Below are 26,035 nucleotides of genomic sequence, written 5' to 3'. Positions count from 1 at the left end.
GGGGACTCACCCACAAAGGGGTCCTCACCTTGGGGTGTCCCACCCGGCGTCATTCCCCGAGGCTTTTTCATGTCATGGGTTCCTCAGCGGTCGAGTCGACCGAGGCTTTGCTGCCTCATTCCTAGAGGACCCAGGGAGACCAGAAGGCTCTGTGAGCGGCCCCGCGTTGACCCCGTGACCGAGAAAAGCCAGGCAGACGCCTGGGCTCTTGGGCGCTTTCGTGGGCGCGCGCTTATTTTTCGGGGGCACTTTGCTCCCTGCAGCCCTGGCCCCTTGCACCGTGCTCTCAGCTGGGGGAAGAGAGTCGGGAGCCGAATTCGCTCTTAGAAGCCGGGGTGCCTCCCGCCAGGCCCGCCTGGGAGGAGGCCGCGTCTCTCCTCCCCCGCCCCGCGCCTGCAGCCCCGGCCCTGACTGACGCCGCATTTCTCTGGCAACCGCTTCCCTTGGTCTCCCTGGCTACCGCCCAGCCTCCCCGCGCTCTCTCCTGGCACCTGAGTCAACTACTGGGCTGTGTCGTTGGTGGGGAAGAGGGGCAAGTGGGTGGGGTTCCTATTCTGGAAGGCACAGGTGCACCGCCCGCCTCTTGGCTGCCCCTCAGGTGACGGTGCGGTCCCTTGCTAGCGGGAAGAGTGTCTGCTAAGGACAGTTTGCACCCTGAGGCTCATGTTCCCTTTGAGTCTAGGGACACATGCTGGGTTAAAAAATAAAAATAAATTCAAACAGGACCCAACCTTGGAAACCTCAAGTTGGTGATTGTTTTCCTGGTTGGTTTTTTGCATAGTTAGAAAAGCTTGTGGAGCTCAATGGGGCTGCTGGCTGTCGGAAAACCCTGGGGACGGTGTTTTGGGGACTCATCACTGGTCTTTTATTTGTCCCCATTGAGCTGGCTTGGAGCTGAACTGTATTCCCAGAGCACGTTGCTGTAGGAGTTTGGCTTTTTATTTTTTAATATTTATTTATTTATTTATTTATTTTGAGAGGGAGTCTTGCCCTGTCACCCAGGCTGGAATGCAGTCTCGCGATCTTGGCTCACTGCAGCCTCCGCCTCCCGGGTTCAAGCGATTCTCCTGCCTCAGCCTCCTGTGTAGCTAGGATTACAAGCTCGTGCCACCACGCGCGGCTGATTTTTGTATTTTTAGTAGAGATGGGGTTTCAGCATGTTAGCCAGGATGGTCTCGAACTCCTGACCTCGTGATCCGCCCACCTCGGCCTCCCAAAGGGCTGGAATTACAGGCGTGAGCCCCCTTGCCTGGCTGAGTTTCGCTTTTTAAATTTTTTGTCACGGCGATTTAAACTTTGGGTGGCCTGGTAGTGCCTGCTCAGTTTATAGAAGTAGGATTTGGAAGTTGACTACTCTGTGTGTAAGTCAACCTTTGTAATAAAAAAGTACGGCCCGGCCCCATGACTCACGCCTTTAATCCCAGCACTTTGGGAGGCCCAGGCGGGCAGATCACCTGAGGTCAGAAGTTCAAGACCAGCCTGGCCAACAAGGTGAATTCCCGTCTCTCCTAAAAATACAAAAATTAGCCGGGCATGGTGGTGGGCGCCTATAATCGAAGCTACTTGGGAGGCTGAGGCAGGAGAATCGCTTAAACCCAGGAAGTGGAAGTTGCAGTGAGCCGAGATCAGCCACTGCACTCCAGCCTGAACGACAGAGCGAGACTTCGTCTCAAAAAACAAAACAAAACTTGGTTTCCCCCCTCCGAACCGTTTGTCTTGTAAACAACTCCCTGGTCTAGGCTCCCATGTGTGGGAGGGAGGTTGTGCCAGCCTGTGCAGCACATCAGAGGTTGGAGAGCTGATGCCTGTGGTGAATAATCATGGAACCGTTTGCAGTTTGGGTTAGGCCATAGGCGTTTGATACAGGAATGGTTCTATGTGCTTTTCTTTCGCTGTAGTGCACAAACCAGTGCCCATGAAGTAAAAAGTGGAGGAGGAAGATAAAGTAGTAAGACTCCAGGCTCAGCACCAAACTTAACTAGTGACCAAATGATAATAGCTGCCTTAATAAGCATTTTCACTGAGCACAACCATTAGTTTTATTCTTAGTCTTTAAAATGGGTTGCAAACTCAAACCCTATAGGGGCCAGAGGTAACATAAATGAGCAAAGGAGGAGGAAAGAAAGGTAATGGCTTCTGAACTACAGAGTATGTGCCTCTTTGAAAGGAGCAGCCACTAGCTGATTGTTGCTCAGCAAAAATGTGGGCCCAGAGTCGGTGGATCTTTGACTTGCTTCTAAACTGGCTATCTCTATTTTGATGGATCTCCTGACTTTTAAATGTAGCATTAAAAAAATTTTAAACACTATAGACCAAATGTAACATGTCTTTAATGTTGGATTCAACCTGAAGGCTAGTTTGGAATCTGTCTTAAAACATCCGTTTTGGATTTCCCCGCTGTTTTGCAGAAAAGGAAACAGGCTTTAGAAATCAAGTCACAAGGCTGTTAAGTGATGGAATTGTGTGAACCTAGGTCCTTCTGGTGCCGTAGCCCAGCCTATTATGTGTGTTCTGTTATGTCAAAGGATCAAGGGGTTATTGGTGGCGTACATTCTAGAAAAAAGGTGGTGGTCTGGGAGCTGGTCACATTTATAGGCAAAGTGAACCTTAACTGCATTGGCAGGAATCCCAGTTGCTGTAGAAGTCAGTGTGGGTCTTCTGAGTGTTAGTACAGCAGTGCTGATGTTAGGAGGAATGTGCTGTGTCTATCATTCCACAATGTATGTCAGAGCAGTTAGCTGATCCTGAGAGCCGGAGGTCTGGGGAAGGCAGGCTCCTCCCACTGTGGGGGTGACCCTCCCAACCCTCTGCACAAAAGGCTCCTTTTTTTCAGGACAGTTAAAATTTCAGTACTAACTTTTTCTGTCTGAGGCAAGGCAAATTTGAAATTATATAATTGTTTTAAGACCTGTAAAAGTAACATGGAGCTTACTAAATCTCACCTTGTCTGTCTTAGCTAAGATTCCCATAATGCTGTCTCTTAGATTTCCAGGAAGAATTAATAAAGGTTAAAAAAAATTTTTTTAAAGCAGTCTGTGGTAAAATCTGAGATAAGCTCCCGGGGCATAAAATAGCCCTGCCCCAGAAATGAGGGGCTGGGGTTTCAATTCTGGATAAAACTTAGAATCCCAGCATTGTACACAGCCACACTTACGGATGTAAAGGGGTATGTACATTTTTTTTTTCCTATATTTCATTTTCAAGGATTTTTTTTTTTTGAGATGGAGACTCTGTTGCCCAAGCTGGAGTGCAGTGGCACAATCTCGGCTCACTGCAACCTCCGCCTCTGGGGTTCAAGCAATTCTTCTGCCTCAGCCTCCCAAGTAGTGGGGACTATAGGCACGCGCCACCACGCCCGGCTAATTTTTGTATTTTTACTAAGATGGGGTTTCACCATATTGGCCAGGCTGGTCTCGAACTCCTGACCTCGTGATCTGTCCGCCTCAGCCTCCCACAGTGCTGGGATTACAGGTGTGAGCCACCGTGCCCAGCCTCATTCCCAAGGATTTAAAGGAGTAAAAAGCATATTCAGAGCTTTTGCCAAAGAATTTTTTTCTGTGAGAATGTAAACTCAGACACAAGCTAGATAGCTTTCTTACCTGTATCCTGGAAAGTTTTTGGAAAGATGAAAACTTTAAAATGTTACCTGCCTCTAGCTGCTTCTTAGCAACCTTTACCAGCAAGGCACTCAGCTATGAGTTCAGTGTTTGTGGATTTGGGGGTGTGGAGTGTGCTGGGGAGGGGAAGGGTGAGGTGACTAAAGTAGCTCTCTGCTGGTGTTATTTTTGCATTTATAACGTTAGGTGTTGTCTGTGCAGGCTTTCTCATTCATTGGTTTCAGGTCCCTTAGCTAAATGATTATTTTCTAAAGTTATGTTTATTTTAAGGGAAAATTAGAGTATTAGTACTTTTGGCTTACAGTTTGAGACAGAAATGCACACCAAACCTAAATATTAATGTTTACACTGTTTTTAGTAGCTAGTATTGGAGGCAGTAAAAGAATCATGGGATCAAATAACAAATTATTTTCTCTGCTATGGAGAAGTTGTGCTAATCTCATCCTGTTCTGCAAATGTGCTTTTCCTAGGCGGTATATAAACTGTACTGACTCTGGGGAGAATTTGCCAGAAAGCCCCTGAGGCTAAAGGGTAGGACGTGGTTTGCACCTAGAAGTTATGGTAGAGGGGGTTATGTAAGAATTTTGCTTCTCTTGTTTGAATTAAGACCCAGAAGCACTGATTGCACCCTTTACCGTTTCTTAAGCCTTTTAAGATTTTATTATTAAGGTTTTTTTTGAGACAAGGTCTCACTGTGTCACCCAGGCTGGCGGGCAGTGGTGCAATCACAGCTTACTGCAGCCTCAAAGCTCCCTGGCTTAAGGGATCCTTCAGCCTCAGCCTCCGAAGTAGCTAGGACTACAGCCATTCAACATGTTTGGCTACTTTTTAAAAAATTTTTTCTTTGAGATGGGGTTTCACTATGTTGGCCAGGCTTATCCTCGGCTCAAGCCATCCTCCTGCCTCAGCCTCCCAGAGTATTGGGATTACAGGTATGAGCCACCATGCAGGCTCTTAAAGCTTTTTGGTCACCATGAACTTTGCTTCCTTTGCACCCAACATTGCAGTTTTGGAAATGCCCTTAGTTTTTTCCTGCCGTTGTTGCAGCCTGCTTTAGAGCGTCTCATCTTCTGTGAGCACAGATTCCGTAGAAAGTTTTTATGTTGAAGATAGGACCTGCCCCAACAGTGCATTTCTCAATTATAGTAAACTAGCTGAAAAAGATTGAACTAAAACATGTATGATGTAATATTTCATATTTTCATAGGAAAATTATCTGACTTGCTGTAAAAAGTTAGTATCCAAATTTCAGAGTGCTAAATTCACATTGTAGATGTAATTTCCAATGAATTTTATTAGGTGTCATTTTAAAGCCCAATGTTAGGGATTATTTTGCCACCCTAATATATAATGTGGTTTTGATTAACTTGGACCTGGGAGGATTCCTGACTGACTGGGGTTGAGCTTTACTTTCAGTAGTTCAGGAGAACACTTAGGCATGGATAACCTTTGAATTCTTTTTTTTTTTTTTTGTATTCTTGAATGGTGGAACAGTCCTTTTAAATTATAGTGAGTTAACACTCTTTGTTTTGATTTATTTAAGGCATTCGTGATGAGTTCCCCTGAGGTAACAGGAGAATCCCCAGAGGGCAGGTCTAAAGGTTGGTTTGTATGCTAAAAACGGGTCTTGGTTGCAAGTAGCTATTGATTTTAGGAGTAACTTGACTAAGAGTGTTACTTGTTTCTTTATTCTTGGCCAGCATAATATGCTGCTTTATGTACCATCCTGACAGATTTAGCCCCACTTCCTACAATCCCCTTTGATAAAAGTGTGGGAGTAGCTCTCCTCTGTTGGAAGAGAACAGTTACTGTGAAGGGCAGGTTGGTTTTTTTGTGTCTTTTTACAGAACACTTAATCTCTTACTACTTAACACCTGTGCTCTCTGCATTCTGGCTTTGTGCTCCTGGGTTCTGGCCCTGACACCATCTGTCTGTCTCCCATGTGTCTGCCCTTTCTCCTGAGGCTTTTTGTTTTTGTTTTTGTTTTTTTTTAAAGCTGTAATCTTGGAATTGTTGTGAAGCTCAAAAGGTGTTAGAGACCTGTCTCCTACATATAACTTGGAGTTGACACCAAAGCCAGATATAATCTCTGACATCCTCTTTTCATGGACTAGGAGAATTAAGTTTAGAATGGAAAGTGATTACCCTAATTTTATACTGTGAGCAGGGAATAGAGACAGAACTTGAACCCACGTTTTCTCATTTCTAGACTAGTACTATTTGTAAAATTCATACACTCTTACCTCTGCTGTGTTGGTCTCTTATTGTACTTGAAATGTCCATTTGGTTTGTAAGACTATGGCTTCCTTTTTTTTTTTTTTCCTTATCTGATCAATCTTGTCTTGTCTTGGTACTTGCAGGCTTCCTTTTCTCCCCAAATGCCGCATTCTTCACAGTTCAACCCTGTTGGATCATTCCTGTCTCCTTATATATACAGGAGACCCATGTGTTCCTATAGAAGCACCAGTTGACTGTTGTGTGCCCAAGTTTTAGATTGAGCTCTTTAGCCTTGGTTGTTCTGAAGACTTATACTTCTGATTGGACTACCGAATGCGTGTATCTATCTGAGGTATGTTAAACCCAGCAGATATAAAAACAGAACCAATTTCTTCCTTTTCCTCATCAGAAATAACATCAGAAGTAGGCAGGTAAAAGATTTAAAGGTTATTGCCAAAACAGGCATAGTGTAGGGAGTGGGAAGGACATTCTAGGCAAAAGGAACAACATGTATAAGGACAAGGAGATATGAAACAGGGCTGTTTTTAGGCAACTAGAAGTACAGTATTGCTAGAATTTTAAGCGCAAGGGGTACTAGCTTATGACCTGGTAGTCCACTTGTGTTCCTATGTGCAAGAGAAATGAGCACATATGAGTATAAAAAGGCATGCACAAGAATATTCACAGCAGTTTTATTCATAATATTCAAAATCTGAAGAAAAAGCAAGCTAGTTGTGGCACCTGTAGTACCAGCTACCGGGGAGGCTGAGGCAGGAGAATCCCTTGAGCCTAGGAGTTCAATTCTGGTCTGGACCACATATCCAGACCCTGTCCCTAAAAATAGGACAAAACAACAAACGCCTGTTATGTCTGGTCCCCCAAGACAGTGCCTAAATTAGATGATTGACTAGGAAGATTCACAGGAGTCAGCATATAGTGGTTCTCATAGCTAAGCTTACAGCTAAAGGATATGGAGAAAAACCATCAAAGGGAAAAGGCACGTGGGGTGAAATCTGGTACAAGCTTCCAATGTTCTTTTCCCGGGAGAGTTAAACAGGACATAGTTTAATTCCCCTACAACTGACAACATATGTAAAATGTTGCCAGCCAGAATAGCTTGTTAGAATCTGGGCACCCAGAGAGAGAGAGAGAGAGAGAGTGTTTGCGCGTGTGTGTCTGAGGACTGGTTGAATAGGTAGCCTCTGCCTGAAATGTACCAAAATTTCAGACTCCAGGAGGAAAGCCGATGTTCAGCATAAACCATATTGTTTGTTCCTTTGGGTATAGTAAGTCACTCAGTTCTGGGAATGGTGGGAACTCAAAATTTAGGTTCCCAGATGGTAGCTAAAAGACACCAGTCAGACCTGTTACTTTAAATCTTTTCTGTACACCCTTGAGCAGGAATATGGATAAATACATATATCCACATCTATTAATATGTAGCACAGTGATAAAAACCACTGTTCTATACTTTAATGTGTAGACATGTCAGATACTAAGTTAAGTGGGGAAAAAAAAAAAGCCAGACCCAAAAGAATACCCACATGATTGCATTTATAAGAGGTTCAAAAATGGGCAAAACTAACTGGTAACAACAGAAGCCTGAATAGTAAACTCTTTGGGGGATAGTGTGGGAAAGGGCACAGGGGAACCTTATAGAGTGTTGGAAATGTTCTGTGTCTTGCTGTGTGTGGTGGTTGCTCCGGTATGTACAGATAAGTGAATGTTGATCAAGATACACACTTATAACTATTGTCCTTTTATTGAGAGGGAACACACAACAGAATAAAGTAGGAATAGACCAGGAGGGACTTAACTTGGCCACTAAGCTGAAGGCGGACCATGAAGGGTTTTATATGCTATTGATAAGGAACTTGGCCTTTACTCTGTGGCAGCAGTTCTCCAAGCTAGGTCCATGCCTGCCTAGTGGTCACCAAAACCCTTTAAGAGGCTATAAAGTCAGAAGTATTTTTATAATTCTAAGACGTGGTTGATTTCTGCTCCCCCACCCCACTGTGTTGACATTTGTACCGATAGTGCAAAAGCAATGGGGGTGAGTAAAACAGCTGGCACTTACTTAGCAGGAATCAGGGCAATGCCATTAAACTGTAGTAGCAGTCATTGTATTCTTCATGGTACACATTCCCAGAAAAGCCAGTGTCACTTACAAATGTCCTTGAGGAAGCAGTAAAATTAATTTCATTACATCTCAGCCCTTGAATATATGCCTTTAATATTCTGTGTGACAAATGAGAAGTCAGTATAAAGTACTTTTGCTTCATATCCAAGTATGATGATTGTCTCAAGGAAATGTGACTGAGTTTCAAGAATAAGCCTCTTTTTTTCCTTTGAAAACCTTTTTTTTCTTTACCAGAAGAACAACTAACAAACTATGGTTATTCAACTTTGGGTATTTGGCAGACATTTTCTTGAAAATCAACCAAGTAAGTCAGTCACTTCATAAGAAATAGCTCACTTTATTTGTTGCCAGTGATACAATTTGAGCACTGAAGAAAAAAATAAGAATTTTGGAAGACCTTTATCTGCCACCACATGAGCTTGACACTTGCCCCAATACTTGAAGTCCCCTGGTGAGATTGGTGGTACTATTTACTATTAACTAGTGTGTCAACGTTTGTTATATTTGCATAATTCAAGCCAATATTTGTCAAATGACTAACAGATAGGAGTAAAAGATCCATCCAAAATGCAAGATTGACCCATGTGTTTTAATGTAACAGCATATGAAGAGTACATATGGTTTCAGATTCCATATTGTAACTAATCTTTAAGAAGTTACCATTTGTTGGGAATTTTGGTGTAGTATTAATAGCCACAGTTGTCTGACAATGATATTAAAATACTCCTTTTTCCAACTATGTATCTGTGTGAGGCTGGATTTTCTTCATATACTTCAACCAGAATAACACATGACAACACATTAAATACAGAAACAGACCAGAAAATCCCGCTATCTTATATTAAACCAGATACTAAAGAGATCTGCAAAAATGTCAATGCCACTCCATAAATTTTTTTTGTCTTGGAAAATCATTGTGTTAATATGTAATAGGTTTTTTTAATGGTTAATAAATCTACCCCTTTTTAATTTCTAATGGGTGAATATTCATATGACCTACTTACACAAAAAGCTCTTGAGTAATTAAAAGTACTTAAAATTACCTCAGTAATTTTTAAGAGTATAAAGGAGTCCTCAGACCAAAAAGTTTGTGGACCACTGCCCTCTGGAGTAGGTGATTAGATTTGTACTTTCCAGAGATCCTGTAAGAATATCCAGGCAGGAATGAAGACGTCTTAAAAGGCTCAGGAAATGTCCATAGGATTTGATAAGGCACAGTGAACTTGGTTTGAAAAAAAGTGTTTCAGAATAGCATGTGTGGAAAGGGAGAGAAGCATCTGATGCTTGCCTTCGAGGGTTAAAGAGATGAGTAAAGGCCGTAGAGATGGGGTACTCCGTACGGAGGGCTGATGGGGATGCTAGGGAAAGACAGGCTGGCTACTAGAGGGAAGAGCAGGGTTAAGAAAAGTTCTAAACATGGGAGAGACCTGATGATGTTTACAAAGGTGTGAGAGCTGTGGCAGGTATAACCAAGAGGCCCTGTGGGTATGAGAAAAAATGGACTCCAAAATTGCTTTTTAAATAGGAAGAAGGATACCTTGTCAGTAAGTGCAGAAAAAGGATAGTAATGGAAGCTGTGTCAAATTGGTGAGGGCAAGAGTAGGGTCATGTAGACCAACTGTCCAGAGCCTTTAGTTTCTTTTATTCCTCAGGAGAATTTATGAGACTCTGTCATTCTCACATTACAAATAAAAAGACCTGCTTAGAGAAATTGAAAATCTTGGTCAAAGTTCCCTAGTTAATGGAGCACTGGGGCTTAAATCAGAATCCCAGACTCCAAGTTCCCTCTTCTGCATCAAGGCAGCCAGAGAAGCATTATATGGAGAGGTGATGGAGACCAGGTCCAAGAACAGCTCTGAGACAACTCTGGAGCCTTTGTTTTTTTATTGATGAAGAATGGTCTGTGGTCCAAACCTAAAACCCCAAATCCCAAAATGACTTTAGTGGCTGAGAATTTTGACAGGGAGAAGAGGTAGAATTGATGAATATTTCTCTTGATGTATCTAAAATCTTAAGAAAGGAGTCACTACCATTTATGAAGGTTATGAGTGAGGTGGTAAAAATACCTATGACAGGAGTGTGATACGGGTCTGCCTTTCATGTGGTATCTGTATTGAGTGCCTGCAAATGCAGCAGATACTATTCTGGGGCAGTGCTGAGATACAGGTTGTGAGGGACCTTTATAGTTTATCAGATTGGTGAGCTTACAGTCCATACAGTTAGCAGTGTGACAGGTAAGTGATGAGAGTTAAAATTATAGTGACCATGTGCTTTCAATATTCTTGAGGTGTTTTGGTATGAAATATTCTCTAATGTTCTCATAAACCTGTCCTGGAAATTGTAGTATTTCCTCTTCCACACTGAGTTAAGAGAGCAAAAAGAACATTGGACAATAGATGTACCCTATGAAAAATGAAGAATAACCAGAGATGGAAAGGGAGAGCCAGGAGAAAGTGATTCCTGACTTGAGTGGAGAATAGCTGAAGGGTCAGATCCTACAAAGATGCAGGGTAAGATAGACTTGAAGTATCAGTTGGATTTGGCAGCTATGAAGGCATTAATTTGGGAGCAGTTGTTTAGTGTCTTTTTGGGGAAGGGGAGAGATCAGTGCTGGCAGGACATTGTGGATTGAGAGGATGAACAGGAAGTTAAATAAAGATCATATATTTTCAAGAAGGTTGATAGTATAGCAGAAGAAATTGGCAATGAATTGGGAGGATATTTTAAATCAAGGAAGGTGTGGTGGTTTTTTAAGGTGAAAGAGTCTTGAACATACTGACAAACTGAAGGGGAGCCAGTGGAGAAGAGAGGAAAGTCAGGTGATGCAGGGAGAGGAGATCTTGTATCTGTTGATGGATTTATCTTTCCGACACAGGAAGGAGGTTAGGACCTGTAGCTTTATCTCGTTTATTCCTGGTGAGCCTTCCTGTCCAGCCCTGTTGGACTACTTTGTTTTCTTGAATTTACTGTGTTCTGTATCCTCTCTGTGCTTGTTCTCTGTGTGTTAATGCTTTTTCTCATGCCTGCTTATTGAAATTCTGCATTTTCATTATTCTCTAGCCAAAACATCTGAGTTGTGAAACCATTTTAGATACCCTACTTTATTCCTCTCTTCTATAGCATTTTATGCTTGATCTCCACTTAGCTAACTAGATTTGTTTCTTTTTCCTACCTGAATAATTCTCCTGAGGGCAAGGAGTATGTTTTATATATACATATCTGTAATCTCAACATCTAACCTAGTGGGTTGTCAGCATTTACGAAATAATATTAGGTTGAACTATGTGAAATTGCCATTTTGTTGGTTGAAAAAGGTAAAATACTGACAATTTCATATGGACCAACCTGATAAATTTTTATTCCTGACATTGTTGCATAGAAGACTTGAGGTAGGACCAAGGAGAAATTTAAACACAGAGAAGCATCTCTCAGCAAACTATAGAGTCATTAAAGTAGAGCCAAAATCTGGCTTTGAGTGAGCTGGTGACTAAAGCAAATAGAGAAATTTGGCTAGAAGACTTACATTCTTCCATAAGGAAAATGTATTCTTCATGGGAATCTGTAGCATTTCCTGATCTGTGGTCTGAATGACATTTCTCTAAATGAGTGTTCATATAAGGGCTCTTCAAAATCGTAATAGAATATGCCTAAAATCCTGAGTATCCGTGCTATAGAAATTTTGTTTAGCTTTATTATTGGTATAAAACTAAAGGCAGGCCAGGCATGTGGCTCATGCCTGTAATCCCAGCACTTTGGGAGGCTGAGGCGGGCGGATCACCTGAGGTCAGGAGTTTGAGACCAGCCTGGCCAACATGGCGAAACCCCATCTCTACTAAAAATATAAAAAATTAGCTGGGTGTGGTGACACATGCCTGTAGTCCCAGCTACTCAGGAGGCATAGGCACCAGAATTGCTTGAACCCAGGAGGTGGAGGTTGTGGTGAGCCGAAATTGTACCACTGCACTCCTGGGCGACAGAGCGAGACTCTGTTTCAAAAATAAAAATAGAAAAATAAAGGCAAATTGCCAGAGTACGTCTCAGCAGAACCAGTTATTTGGGACATCTAAGTATATTACTTTCTGCTACTCTGGCTTAATTAAAAAAGTCTAAATGTTCAAGACCAATGCATTTAAAAACCATCTGATTAAATGGAGGAAAAATACTTCAGAAAAATTTTTAGTGTGAACACATTTTTGTCAGGAGGATTACTACATTCCAATCCATGGGACCCCAGTTTTAGAACTCTCTCTGGAGGACTGAGTAAACCTTGGGCCCTTCAAACAGTCTTCTATAAATTTCTCAACTGGCTATTAATCCATTGTACATGATTAATAGTAATAGTCTTGAAGGGTCTTCAGCATTGGTATTATGTTGTCCATTAAAGGCAAACTGAATAAAAATCAACCCAGAGATGATAGTTGGCATTCATTTACGACAGGTGAGTATCCCCAAGTAAAGATTTTGAGCTGCCAGAATGGCCATCCTATCACAATGCTGGGTCTGGGGAGTATGATATTTAAAGGCAGGGCCAAGGTTTCCAAATTAGACAATTGTTCATTTCTTCTATACAAATAAATATAAAATTTGGGGATCTTTAGCAAACATATCTACAAAGTGTGGTTCAGATTTTTAAAGAAAAAGTTATGAGTGATACTTCTGAACCATAGATGGAAAAAAAAAAAAACCAGTTATATGCTAAAACAAGTAAATAAGCTTCTTGATGAACTTGGCTAGGATGAATAAGTTGAAACCATACCTCTGAGTAACAGTGATATAATTTAATAACTGGTGTGTAATTGGACATCTGCCACTAAAAGTATTTATTGAGCATATCCATGTACTTTATGTATTTCTGACTACTACGAAGTCTGCAAAGTAGGTGCTACCCTCTTTTTTTTTTTTTTATACCTTTAGGTAACCAAGGCTCAGAGTGATACCTAAGTGGTAGACCTGGTGTTTGTATTGCAAAGCCTGTGTTCTTTCTGCTTTTCAAAACAATGATTCCCACTTTTAAGGAGGAGGAGGAGGATTTTCCTTTGTGGAGGAGGGAAATGCTTTTCTTCAGACCATTTCCCTCACCTTTGTTGTCCTAGTTGATGATCATGGCTATAGGAAAACAGTTTCATGATAGGAGTGTCAGCTCTTATCTATTGGAGAGGAGAAAATTGAGGCCTGATCTAAAATAACTTGGATTAGGGCCAGGCACTGTGGCTCATGCCTATAATCCCAGCGCTTTGGGAGGCTGAGGCAGGCAGATCACCTGAGGTCAGGAGTTTGAGACCAGCCTGGCCAACATGGTGAAACCCTGTCTCTACCAAAAGTACAAAAATTAGCCAGGCGTGGTGGCACATGCCTGTAATCCCAGCTACTCGGGAGGCTGAGGCAGGAGAATCACTTGAACCCGGGAGGCAGAGGTTACAGAGAGCGGAGATTGAGCCATTGCGCTCCAGCGTGGGCGACAAGAGCAAAACTCTGTCTCAAATAAAATAACTTGTATTAGGTGAGTTTCCTCAAAAGCCATTCTTTCTAACAATAGGTAGATAGGTAGAACTAGTTTTATCTTGAGGGTATTTGTGTCTATATCATTAGCATTAAACAATTGTTTTTAAATTAATTTTTTAATTAAAGAATTGTTTTTGTTTTACAGCATTGCCAAGTAATTCTTCCTGTTGACTCCTGATTTTCGGTAGTATTAAGGTTTGCACTCTATTAAGTCTCTGATTTATCTTAAAGCCTTCTTTCCCGTTGACAGTAGAAGACCAACTAAAGGTCAAAAAAAAGCTACAAGTGACCTCACTTTATGGCAAAATATGCTGAAAATAAGGGCAGGAACTGTCAGGCAATAGTAGAATAACCAAGAGAAAAACATTTTTTATCATGGTAAAACATTGGTCTGAATGCAGATCTATACATTGATGAAAGTTCAGATGGACTACACAAAGTAAATGGGTCTGTGAGTATGGGGTGGATAGTAGGTTTCTGTTTTGAAAATGAGGAACTATGAATTCATATAACTGGACGGTTTAAAAGGATCAGTATTGGCTAGATGTGGTAGCTCATGCCTGTAATCCCAGCACTTTGAGAGGCTGAGGCAGGAGCAGCGCTTGAGCCCGGGAATTCAAGACCAGCCTGGACAACATAGCGAGACCTTTTCTCTGAGGGGAAAAAAAAAAGTTAAAAAAAAAAATTAGCTGGGCATGGTGGCGCCTGTCTGTAGTCCAGCTACTTGGGACGCTGAGGCAGGAAGATTGCTTGAGCCCAGGAGATCAAGGCTGCAGTGAGCTGTGATTGCAGCACTGTGCTCCAACCTAGGGGACAGAACAAGACCCCATCTCTTAAAAAATGTGTGTGTGTGTGTGTGAATATACACAGTACACATGTCGAGCAGCCCTAATCTGAAATGCTCCAAAATCTGAAACTTTTGGAACACCAGTATGTCACAAGTAGAAATTAGACACCTGAATTCATGATGGGTGACAGTTAAAACACAGTCAAAATTTAATTTCATGTACAGAATTACTAAAAATATTGTATAAAATTAACTTCAGGCTATGTGTATGAAGTATATATAAAAAATAAATGAATTTGGCTGGGCGCAGTGGCTCACGCCTGTAATCCCAGCACTTTGGGAGGCCAAGGTGGGCGGATCATGAGGTCAGGAGATCAAGACCATCCTGACTAATGTGGTGAAACCCCATCTCTACTAAAAATACAAAAAAATGAGCCGGGCGTGGTGGCGGGCGTATGTAGTCCCAGCTACTCCAGAGGCTGAGGCGAGAGAATCCTGTGAACCCGGGAGGCGGAGCTTGCAGTGAGCCGAGATCACACCATTGCACTCCAGCCTGGGCGACAGAACGAGACTCCGTCTCAAAAAAAAAAAAAAAAAGAGAAAAAAATAAATGAATTCTGTGTTTAGACTTGGGCCCTATCCCTAAGATAGGTCATTATGTATATGCAAATGTTCCAGCTTCCAAAAAAAAAAAAATCCAAATCTGAAACACTTCTTGGTCATCTCAGCATTTCTGATGAGAGATACTGAACCTGTAGTGGATTCAGCCCTTAGGTCTATTTGAATCATATCTCTTGCCTTTTAATTAAGCATTTTAAGTCAAATGATTAAGAGGAAGAGTTAGGGGGTACCAGGAATAGAAGGGCCTGGAGTCTTCAGAGAAATAGTTGCCATAGGTCTTTGGTTCACTTAATGAGCCAATAGATCCTTCCTCAAGGATCCCTGTGGTGGCCTCTGAATAATAATAATGATACGACTGATAGACAGTATTCGTTGGTTCAGCACATAATTACATGTCAGGCCCTATGCTAAGTACTTTATGTGCATTAATTCACAAAAAGCCTTATGAGATAGTATTACTTTTATCCCTATTGTACACAAAGGAGAGTAGTAGATCTGTTCGCCATCTGACAGTCCTGGCTTTGATTTTTTTTTTTTCCTTCCAAATTGGTTAAGGCAAACATTGGTAATTATAAGATGAAACAGTTTGGAATATACATTGAACACCTCATTCACTTTTATTATAATGTCATCTTAAGCTAGAGCTCTGGCTTGATGTATGTGAGAGAAGGGGAGGGAGGCATGTCAGATATCATTTGCCTTGATTTGGGAAGGTGTGTATGTTCCTAACAGGATTAGGAGTGGGGCAGGGTGACCAGACACATTCCTAAATTAGATTTTTTTTTCAGACTCCTTGAAATAGTAAGATTTCCTTCCTCTCCTAAGGAATACCTTTCTCCCAGACTCCCAAGTCTGCATCTGTTCCCTAGACTACTGTGGTACTTTCTCACTAATCCTTCTGCCACTTATCTGTCATGTAGTTGCTGGTGGTCTCCTTCTAAGACTCACTTTGTTATTTACTTGCCTTTAGATGTGGCCAGGATCTGGAATCCATGTAGTCCATATATATATAGTACTTTTATTACAGTAATTAAAAGCTAGGTTAATTTTTGTGTATTGAAAAGACACAATTTTGTGTATTGAAAGACAATGCTGACTCCTTAATTTGGCATATGAGGCTTTTCCAATTTTCTCTCCTATACCTAATGCTGTACCACACTGGACCACTTTTGATAATGCCTCTCTACTCTCTTGTGTTCTTTAGAACTTCCTCTTTACCCCCATTTCCAGGCACATTCTGTCCCTCCAGGCCACCTTGGCTTGGAGGACAATGTACATTTACAGCACGTTGTAGTCTGTGTTGTGGATGTTTACAGGATCGGGTCTTAGTTCTTTTTCTTTCTTTTTTTTTTTGAGACAGGGTCTTGCTCTGTCACCCATGCTGGAGTGTGGTGGCACAATCTCTGCTCACTGCAACCTCTGCCTCCTGGGTTCAAGCATTCCTCCTACCTCAGCTTCCTGAGTAGCTGGGACTACAGGCATGTACCACCATACCTGTCTAATGTTTTGTATTTTTTGTAGAAACAGGGTTTCGCCATGTTGCCCAGGCTGGTTTTGAGCTCCTGCCTGCCAAAAGTTCTTTTCCAGACTTCAAAACTTTATTTTGGTTTAGTCTGTGTCTAATCTGCTGCCCCTTGGGGTGCTCACTATAGAGAGCAGGCAGTCGGCTAATGTTTATTAGGCAGTGAAGAATGAAGCATGTAGCCTTAAGATAATGCAGATTGTGCTAGGCAATGGCACGTGCCTGTAGTCTCAGCTACTCAGGAGGCCAAGGTGGGAGGAGCACTTGAGCCCAGGAGTTTCAAGTTCAGCCTGGGCAACACAGCGAGACCTCCTCTCTGCAGGTTATAAATCTTTGCATCTTAGCCTTCATGAAGTTGCCTTCCTGAAATTGAGAATCAGCTTAGAAATCTACAGTTGTGAAAAGGGCCTTGTGTGTCACTGGATTTAACAGTTCTCAATGGCACCACTCTAGAGAGCTTGGGAAAACAACCTTGTAGGATTGTGTATTTTGGTCGTCTTCACAGTTTGCAGAGGGTACCAATCTTCAAGAACTTGAGGCTGACGTGAGGCTCAAGTTTGTCCCTTTAAGGTCATCCTGCAGAGTTGGTAAAACTGTAAATGCTCTTGGTCATTCTCATGCTCACTTGGATTTTAGTAGGCCAAACAAAATGACATTGGGCCTCTTCTTGTTTTGTTTTGATGTGACCAGCTTATGAGATATTAAGTGCCAGTTTCATTACTTGGTCTGTTTTTGTTTTCCGCAAGATAATTGAGGATAATAGAACTGATGAGGCAGGCTCCCCTTAAAAAACTCAATCTGTCAACCAATATTTCATTGCTTCTTATGTTGGGCATTGGCTGTGGAGAGTGAGGGAGACCGGAGTGAAGAATGGTACCTACATTTCTGCTTTGGGCATCTGGTGGATGGTGGTGTTATTTACCGAGATAGGGAATACCAAAAGAATAGTTTTTGTGTAAGGGTTCATGATTTTTTATATATATATATAGGAGTTCTTTTTTCATTCGGTAATGTCTTACCCATCTTCTCATGCCAGTTAATAAAGTTGTATGTACTAATAATGACCACATAGAGTTGTATAACTTAATCAGTTTGGGTGGTTTTACCACTGTTGGTACTTACCTCTCTTGTATTCAATAATTAGTGTTTGCAGATACAAATTAGCAGCTACTGTATGCCATGCAAAATGCTTTACATATGTCATCAAAAAGTTGGTATCCTTTTTCCATTTCACAAATGGGGAAACTGAGGGATAGAGGTTAAGTAACTGTGATATCACACAGCCAATAAATGGCAGAATGAAAATTTTTAAACAGCTGTATTGACATAAAATCTACATACCCTAAAGTTCACCTTTAATGTACAGTTCATTGGTTTTTAGTCCAGTTGACTCTTGGACAGTGTGGGAGTTAGGAGGACCAACCCCCACAGTCAAATATCTATGTATAACTTTGACTCCCCCAAAACTTGACTAATAGCCTGCTGTTGACCGGAAGCCTTACCGATAACATAAACAGTTGATCACATGTTTTGTATGTTACATGTATTTTATACCGTATTCTTACGATAAAGTAGGCTAGAGAAAAAATGTTACTAGAAAATCATAAGAGAAAATATATTTACTGTTCATTAAGTGGAAGTGAATCATAAAGATCTTCATATTTACTGTTTTCACATTGAGCAGGCCGAGGAAGAGGAAGGATTGATTGGTCTTGCTCTCTCAGGGGTGGCAAAGGTGGAAGGATGTGGAGCGGATGTAAGGAGAAGCAGGCACAGTCAGTGTAACTTTACAGAAATAATTTCTGTCTGACTTTTTGCTTTTTCATTTCTGTAAAAATGTTTCTATGTGGTACCAATCCTAATTCCACCATTTGCGTTAGTTTCAGTGCCTGTGTAATAGAAGGGTCTGTATTGTAAAAGAAGTCAAAAGCAGCCTTGAATAATCGGAACCCTTTTGCCAGATCATCTAATGTCAATATGTTTTCTGGCATTGCTACTTCAACATCGTCTTCCATGTCTGGCACTGGTTTGGAGCACTCATCTCTATCAGATTGTCTTCTGCTAATTCCTCTGGTATGTTAACTCTTGGATTTCTCCAAGGTCCATGTCTTGGAAATCTTCACTCCCAACCTTTTTTTGTCATATCTACAGTTTCTTTCATGATTTCCTGTATTGGCTCTGTGGTAAATCTGTGAAGTCATGTACAACATCTGGAAACAGTTTTTTTAAGCAGGAATTTATTATTTTGGGCATGATGGCTTTCATGGATTTTTCTGTAACAATGATGGCATTGTCACTGGTGTAATTCTTCTAGACTTTCATGACCTTCTCTCTATTGGGGTTCTCTTCCACAGCATTAACAATCCTTTCTGTAGAGTAGCATGTGTAATGAGCCTTAAAGGTCTTTATGACCCCTTGATCTGGAGGCTGACTTAGAGATGTTGTATTTGGGGGCATGTATACCTCTTTGTTGTTGAATTCATGGCATTCTGGGTGGCCAGGGGCATTGTCCAGTATTAAAAGAACTTCTGAGTACCTTGTTCATCATAAACACTCATTAAGTGTTTTAATATATTAAAAAAAGTCCTTTACTGGCAAGGTACTTTCTGACTCCAGGAACAAAATATCAATTGAACCAATTCTGAAAAAGAGTTCTTGTCCAGACCTTCTTGTTGTACAACCAAAAGACTGGCAGCTGGTGTTTACCTTTTCCCTTAAGGCCCAGAGGTTAGCAGCTTTATAGATAAAGGCAATCCTAATCATAAACCTGACTATATTTGTAGAAAACTAGTAGAGTTAGCCTACCCCTTTTTGCCTTAAATCCTGGTGCTTGATTCTCTTCCTTAATAGTATCCTTTGTGGAAATTTTTCCACAAATTGGCCAAGAATATTTTGGTATTTTTTTCTTACAGTTCCGAGTACTTAGCTCATAGTAAACACTCATTAAGTGTTTTAATGTATAAAGAAGATACTTAAGTCCTTCCTACTTTATCTAATTCGTAATGTGGAGAGAAAGGGGGTCATAAAGGAGTGTAGAAAACCTAAATATCTTTTTTTTTCTGTGTCTAGGAAGAAGAAGCAGGAAGGATAAAAGATTGCTGGGACAACCAGGAAGCACCTGCTCTCTCCACGTGTAGTAATGCCAATATCTTTCGAAGGATAAATGCCATATTGGATAATTCTCTGGATTTCAGTAGAGTCTGCACTACACCTATAAACCGAGGAATTCATGATCATTTGCCAGGTGATTTAGGTTTGAAAACTTGAACGTGGTAGGCATCTGTACAGATCTGCTTCTAAGTAGTGCATGTAAGAGGTCTTCCTTGGAAAGCTTGTGAAGAACAATGTTGAGTTGCTGGCAATACTTGCCTTTTTGTGGTTTAGTTTATGGATTGAATCCCTCTCTGGGTGAAGACTGCCTTTGATTAGGATGTGTAAACCTACTTTATGATACACAGAAAGGTTGGGGAAAAAAGAAAAGGTCACAGATTACACAAGTATTTATATAAAGAGATATAATGTGGATCACATATGTTACAGATTTTCTGGTAGCCATGTTAAAATTAAGATACAGATGAAATTAATATTTTATTTAACCCAATATATTATAATATGACAACATTTAATATGAAAACTATTAATGAGATTTTTTTTATTAGTACTACGACTTCAAAATCCAGTGTGGATTTTACAAGCATATCTCAACATGGACATTTCAGGTGTTTAGTGGCTACTGCACTGGACAGTGTAGCTCTCGAATGTTTTAACAGCTTTTAAACATGAGTCAGCACGCATTTAGTTTCTGTATCTATTGGATACTCCAAGGAATAGTGGAGATAGAGGGCAGCATCCCCTGAAGTTGACTCTTTCCAAGAGGTGTGGATGTCCTAATGGTGTTTAATTTTGTGGGAGTTGCAACCCATTATAAGAATGTTGAAGTGTTCTGGGTTTGAGTTATTTATTTTATTTTATATTTTCTTTTTCTTTCTTTCTTTTTGTTTTTTGGGACGGAGTCTCACTCTGTTGCCAGGTTGGAGTGCAGTGGTGTGATCTCGGCTCACTGCAACCTCCAACTCCCTGGTTCAAGCGGTTATCCTGCCTCAGCCTCCCTAGTAGCTGGGATTACAGGCACGCGCCACCACACCCAGCTAATTTTTGTATTTTTAGTAGAGATGGGGTTTCACCATGTTGGCCAGGATGGTCTCGATGTCCTGACCTTGTGATCTGCGTGCCTTGGCCTCCCAAAGTGCTGGGATTATAGGTGTGAGCCACTGCACCCGGCCTTTATTTTATATTTTGTTTTTCTTTCTTTTTTTTGAGACAGAGTCTAGCTCTTTCGCCCAGGTTGGAATGCAGTGGTGCGATCTCAGCTCACTGTAACCTCTGCCTCCTGGGTTCAAGCAATTCTCCTGCCTCAGTCTCCCAAGTAGCTGGGATTACAGGCACCCGCCACCACACCTGGCTAATTTTTTGTATTTTTAGTAGAGATGGGGTTTCGCCATGTTGGCCAGGCTGGTCTCAAACTCCTGACGTCAGGTGATCCACCCACCTCGGCCTCCCAAAGTGCTGGGATTACAGGCACGAGCCACTGTGCCTGGCCTGTTTCAGTTGTTTTAGATGAAAGAATATATGTTTAATTTTTAAAAATGGTCCTTGAAAACAATTAGCCACAATGGGGATTCTCAAAACAAGGACTGATAATTACAGTCAACCCTTGAGCAACACTACGTTGGACTGTGCAGGTCCACTTACATGCAGATGTTTTTCAACCAAAGCTGGAAAATGTGGTATTCAAGGGATGTAAAACCCACACGTATGGAGGGCTGACTTTTCTGGTATAGGTGGGTTCCTCAGGACCAACTGCAAGACTTGAGTATGTGCGGATTTTGGTATACTCTGGGGGTCCTGGAACCAATTCCCTACATATACCAAAGGACAACTACTGTTTTTAGTTGTAAATTCTTTTATTTATTTTTTTAACTTGGCGTTAGAAATAATTCCCACAAAAATGCAGGAGTATGTGAGCAGTAAATAGCGTAATGTTTGAGGGAGAGGCATATTAAGGGAGTGACTAACTTGTGGCATTTGCTTCTGTCGTACAGGAAGGCAAATGAGAGAAGGGCATACTTGGGGGTGGGGGTGGTTTTTGTCTCTTCTGACTTGTACAAAAGAAAAATGTAAGTCATGAGCTAGCCCAATTCTCTTTTAGTTTACGCTGAGTTAAAAGTTCAGGGAGTCATCTTTCTTAGTTCTAATACATGTTCTGTTTTTCTCCTTTGAGAAAATTGCATGTATTATGTCCCAGTAAGAATGACAGGCCAGGCATGGTGACTTAAGCCTGTAATTAAGGCTGGAGCAGGTGGATCACTTGAAGCCAGGAGTTTGAGACCAGCCTGGGCAACATGGTGAAACCCCGTTTACAAAAAAATAGAAAAATTAGCCAGATGTGGGGTGTGCACCTAGTTGCAGCTACTTGGAGGGTGAAGTGGGAGGATCACTTGAGCCTGGGAGGTCGAGACTGCGGTGAACTGTGGTTGTGGCACTGTACTACAGCCTGGGTGACAGAGCAGGACCCCTGCCCACCTCTGCCAAAAAAAAAAAAAGTATGACACTCAACAATTCAACAATGACTTAAACCTCACTGGGTTGTTTCAGAGATGCTGGAAACTTTTCTAGTTTACAGGAAAATATTTTTCAGCTAATACTAGGTGTTGGACTTCAGGGAAAGGACCCATGATTGATGGGAGAGGAGCTTTCCAGAGTGTATGTTTGCAGCTGTCCAGGGAGCCCAGTGACTTCACTGGTAAGATGCCAGGGTCTGGTGACGATGTTGTTACCATTATACTCTGCCCAGGGTCAGTAGCCGAAGTACAAGTTAAAGACTTCTCGGGCTCTTCAGCTCCTTCTCAGCCTCTTAGAACATTCTAAGAGAAGCAGGAGGAAGATCTTGAGGAAATTGGGAAACCTGGGTTCTAAGCTTGACCCTGGGCAGTGAGATAAAGAGGTCAGTTTTCTCAGCTGCAGGACAGAATGGTACCTGCTCAACCTGCCTCACAGGTTTCTTATGGGGCTCAGATGTTAAGACAATACTGCAGATTTAAGGGAACTCAAGGAATTCTAGGAAAGGTTTCTGTCAAAGGTAGCTGATGTTCTTGAGCCTTTCACGTATACCCAGCCCCTCCCATGTGTGGTGAACTCTCTCTGCTTTCCACTTGTGATTCAGCTCAGGGCTGTGGGCCTGTATTCTCGAATGGTGAAACAAGGATGCCTGGCCTACAGCAGAGAGCATTTTTTCTGTGGTCACCAGCAAAAATACCAACCTTGTGATTAATGAGAAAGTAAACTAGGATATATATTTTTCTATGAAGAACCTTAAGAAATAACCCAAACTTGTAGCTTCTGATCAAAAGTAATTTTGTTCCTTGAAGGAAATAATCAGAATTATGAAAACCTAAGATTGTTTATGGACAGCATTATAACTAGGGACAATTTGGCAACAGAATGTTAAGTAAATGATAGGAGAGCTATACCATGGAATATCATGTACCATAAAATATAATGTTTATAGAAGACTACTTAATGGCAAAGAAAGATAACTACAGTGTCTGAAATGAAAAAAAGCGAAGTGTAAAACAGGTGTAAAAAAAAGTGTAAAAAGAATGGCCTTAAATATATATGCATAGAAAAACACTGGAATGATATAAATGTGACAGTGAAGGTAGGTAATAGCAGAAAAAAATTATGGGTAATTTTTTTTTCCTGAGACGGAGTCCCGCTCTGTTGTCCAGGCTGGAGTGCAGTGGCGTGATCTCGGCTCACTGCAACCTCCAACTCCCGGGTCCAAGTGAGTCTCCTGCCTCAGTCTCCTGAGTAACTGGGATTACGGGTATGCCCCACCACGCCTGGCTAATTTTTGTATTAGTAGAGATGGGGGTTTCACCACATTGGCCAGGCTGGTCTTGAACTCCTGACCTCAAGTGATCCACCTGCCTTGGCCTCCCAAACTGCTGGGATTACAGGCGTGAGCCACCGCACCTGGCTGGGTAATTTTTTTCTGTATGCTTTTCCCCACTAGTTCTTCTAAAACAAACATTTTGTAATAAATTTTCAAATGGTGTGTTTCCTAACACAGTGTTTCACATTGCTAGTTGCATGCATAACCCAGTTGATAAAGCATCATTGGAAAAGTGCTGTGATAGGGTCAGGAAGAGGTTGGTTTGGTTTGAGAACTAGGAAACACTTCTGGTTAAAGCAGCATTTGAAATAGGCTTTGAAGAGAATTAAAATTACTTTAGTCTTAACTGGATGTTGAGTAGATTATTTTTTTTCTGTTGCTCCAGAATTGGCCATTAGGGCCCAAAGCTGAGACTAAAGAGCTGTTAAATGACCTGTGGTGTAATGAGAATCCCTAAGAGGTGGGACCAGATACCTCCCGCCAGGGCTTACCAAAAGGTCACAGAGCTGTCCCTCCTACCACAAACATTAGCTCAACCCTTCCCTGGCTTATAAAGAGGATCACATAAGGAGGGGGGTAGCATTTGAAGTGATTCCGTCCCCGTCCGTGGAGGAGGGTGGGGTAGGATGTGGCTTTGTCATTTAAGCCAAGCAAGAGGGTCTTCCAAGAGAAGTATTTGTATAGATGGAGAATGCTTCCAAGAAAGAAGACAAGGTTGAACCCCTGGTTAGACAGCTGACTTGCTGTCTATCCCTGACTGAATAGAAATTAATGAAGAAGAGATGTGGGCTGGGTGCAGTGACTCATGCCTGTAGTAATCTCAGCACTTTGGGAGGCCGAGGTGGGCAGATCACTTGAGGTCAGGAGTTTGAGACCAGCCTGACCAACATGGCGAAACCTTGTCTCTATTAAAAATAGAAAAATTAACCGGGCATGATGGTGCGTGCCTGTAGTCCGGGAGGCTGAGGCAGGAGAATTGCTTGAACCGGGGAGTCGGAGGTTGCAGTGAGCCGAGGTTGCACTCTGTATTCCAGCCTGGGTGATAGAGTGCGACTCTGGAGAGAGATGTGGCGGGGCAGGGAAAGAGTAGCTGGAGCATCTGAATTCCCCGTTTATATACAAGAAAGTTATGACTTGCTGTGGTTTAAGAGGGTTTTGCAAAGGCCTGAGCTTTTGGGCTAGTACCCCACCAAGAAGGCCCTTGTTGCATGATGGGTGGTAGGAGCTAGGGTGGGGCTGGAAGGTCAGGCCAGAGCTGGATTTCCTACCCCAACAACTGTCTAGTGGAGATGACAGGGATGTCTGCCACCTAGAGGGCCCTCTCCACATTCCCTAGTCCTTTAAGCCATAGACCTTTTGGAATCTGTGAGGAATGGAGAAAATGGGCTGCAAATGGACATGTGATTTAAGCATTAATGTGTTGAGTTGTTAGTAACGGTGTCTGTAAAGATGTGAAAAGTGGTGAAACATCATTAAGGGATGTCTTAACTGCTATATGGGTAGGGAGACTTAATATTTAGGATGGAGGCAATGATTGGAGGAGCAGTTTCATATTAATTCACTGAGATGCCATTTCTCAATAATCAGTTAAAATAGCTTGGAGGTTTAGAAAGGAATTGACTAGCCAAAGCAGTCCTAAGTAAGGTTTAGCACTGATATGTTTATTTAACAGTTTTTAAAAACTGAAATATAATACACATACAGGAAAGTACATGCTGTATCATAGGCGAAGAGCTCCAACTTTCCCAAACTGAACACAACCATGTAACCAGCTCTCAGACCTAAATAGACTGCTGACTTTTAATGTAGGACCAAAGAATTGTATAGTTGTAGCCTGATGTTAGATTTTTTTTTTTTTTTTCTGAGATGGAGTTTCACTCTTGTTTCCCAGGCTGGAGTGCAATGGCGGGATCTTGGCTCACCGCAACCTCTGCCCGGGTTCAAGTGAGTCTCCTGCCTCAGCCTCCTGAGTAGCTGGTATTACAGGCATGTGCCACCACCCCTGGCTAATTTTGTATTTTTAGTAGAGACGGGGTTTCTCCATATTGGTCAGGCTGGTCTTGAACTCCTGGCCTCAGGTGATCCGCCTGCCTCGGCCTCCCAAAGTGCTGGGATTACAGGCGTGAGCCACTGCACCTGGCCTGGATTTTTTTTTTTTTTTTAAGAGACATGGTGTCACTGTGTTGCCCAGGCTGGTCTCAGACTCCTGGCCTCAAGCCATCCTCCTGCCTCAGCCTCCCAAGTTGCTGGGATTACTGGCATGACTAATGTTGAATTTTTGACTGAGATGGTTTCACTTCTTATTGTACTGGATCATAAACCGTATCGTCACTAAATTGTCTGAAAAGCTATTCCAAAACAAAGTTTAATACATTCAGTCCCATCTTGCAGGAAATGATTGAAATTACTCTCATGAAGTCTTGTTTCCCACAAAATAAACTTTTATGGAACCTTACTGTGTGGCTTTAACAGTTAAGTGGCAACGATTTAACTTGTGTTGTTGAAGTTAACTTACAGAAAAGTATGAGTGTACTATTCACTGAATTTTTATATACTGAACACATCTTGTATAACTAGTCACATGTAGAGGCAAAAATTAAGAATACACCAAAATTCCCCTTGCAGTCCTTTCAGTCTCTAGTTTACAAAGGGCACTTGTTATGCTAAATTTTTA

General features: G+C 41.8%; 1 protein-coding gene across 26 annotated transcripts in view; it reads left to right on the top strand.

The window, feature by feature from the left end:
• The window catches only part of CPEB1 (cytoplasmic polyadenylation element binding protein 1), a 105,595-nt gene that overhangs the window by 1,953 nt on the left and 77,607 nt on the right, over positions 1-26,035 (top strand). For 8 of the 26 annotated variants that reach the window (NM_001365245.1, NM_030594.5, NM_001365243.1 and 5 more), the window contains exon 2: positions 19,476-19,650. Coding sequence is in view for 12 of the 26 variants with exons in the window: in NM_030594.5 (NP_085097.3) it covers positions 19,476-19,650 (175 nt within the window). In the remaining 14 variants the exon portion in view is untranslated. Of the gene's footprint in view, positions 1-5,160; positions 5,219-5,977; positions 6,187-8,208; positions 8,279-13,621; positions 13,672-18,286; positions 18,480-19,475; positions 19,679-26,035 lie in introns of all 26 variants that reach the window. The other 18 variants (NM_001365240.1, NM_001387062.1, NM_001387065.1 and 15 more) reach the window with 9 other exon arrangements.

Source organism: Homo sapiens, chromosome 15 (genome assembly GCF_000001405.40).
Source record: "Homo sapiens chromosome 15, GRCh38.p14 Primary Assembly".
Taxonomy (NCBI): Eukaryota; Metazoa; Chordata; class Mammalia; order Primates; family Hominidae; genus Homo; species Homo sapiens.
The sequence above is the reverse complement of the archived record's forward strand: the minus strand, read 5'-3'. Positions and strand labels throughout refer to the sequence as shown.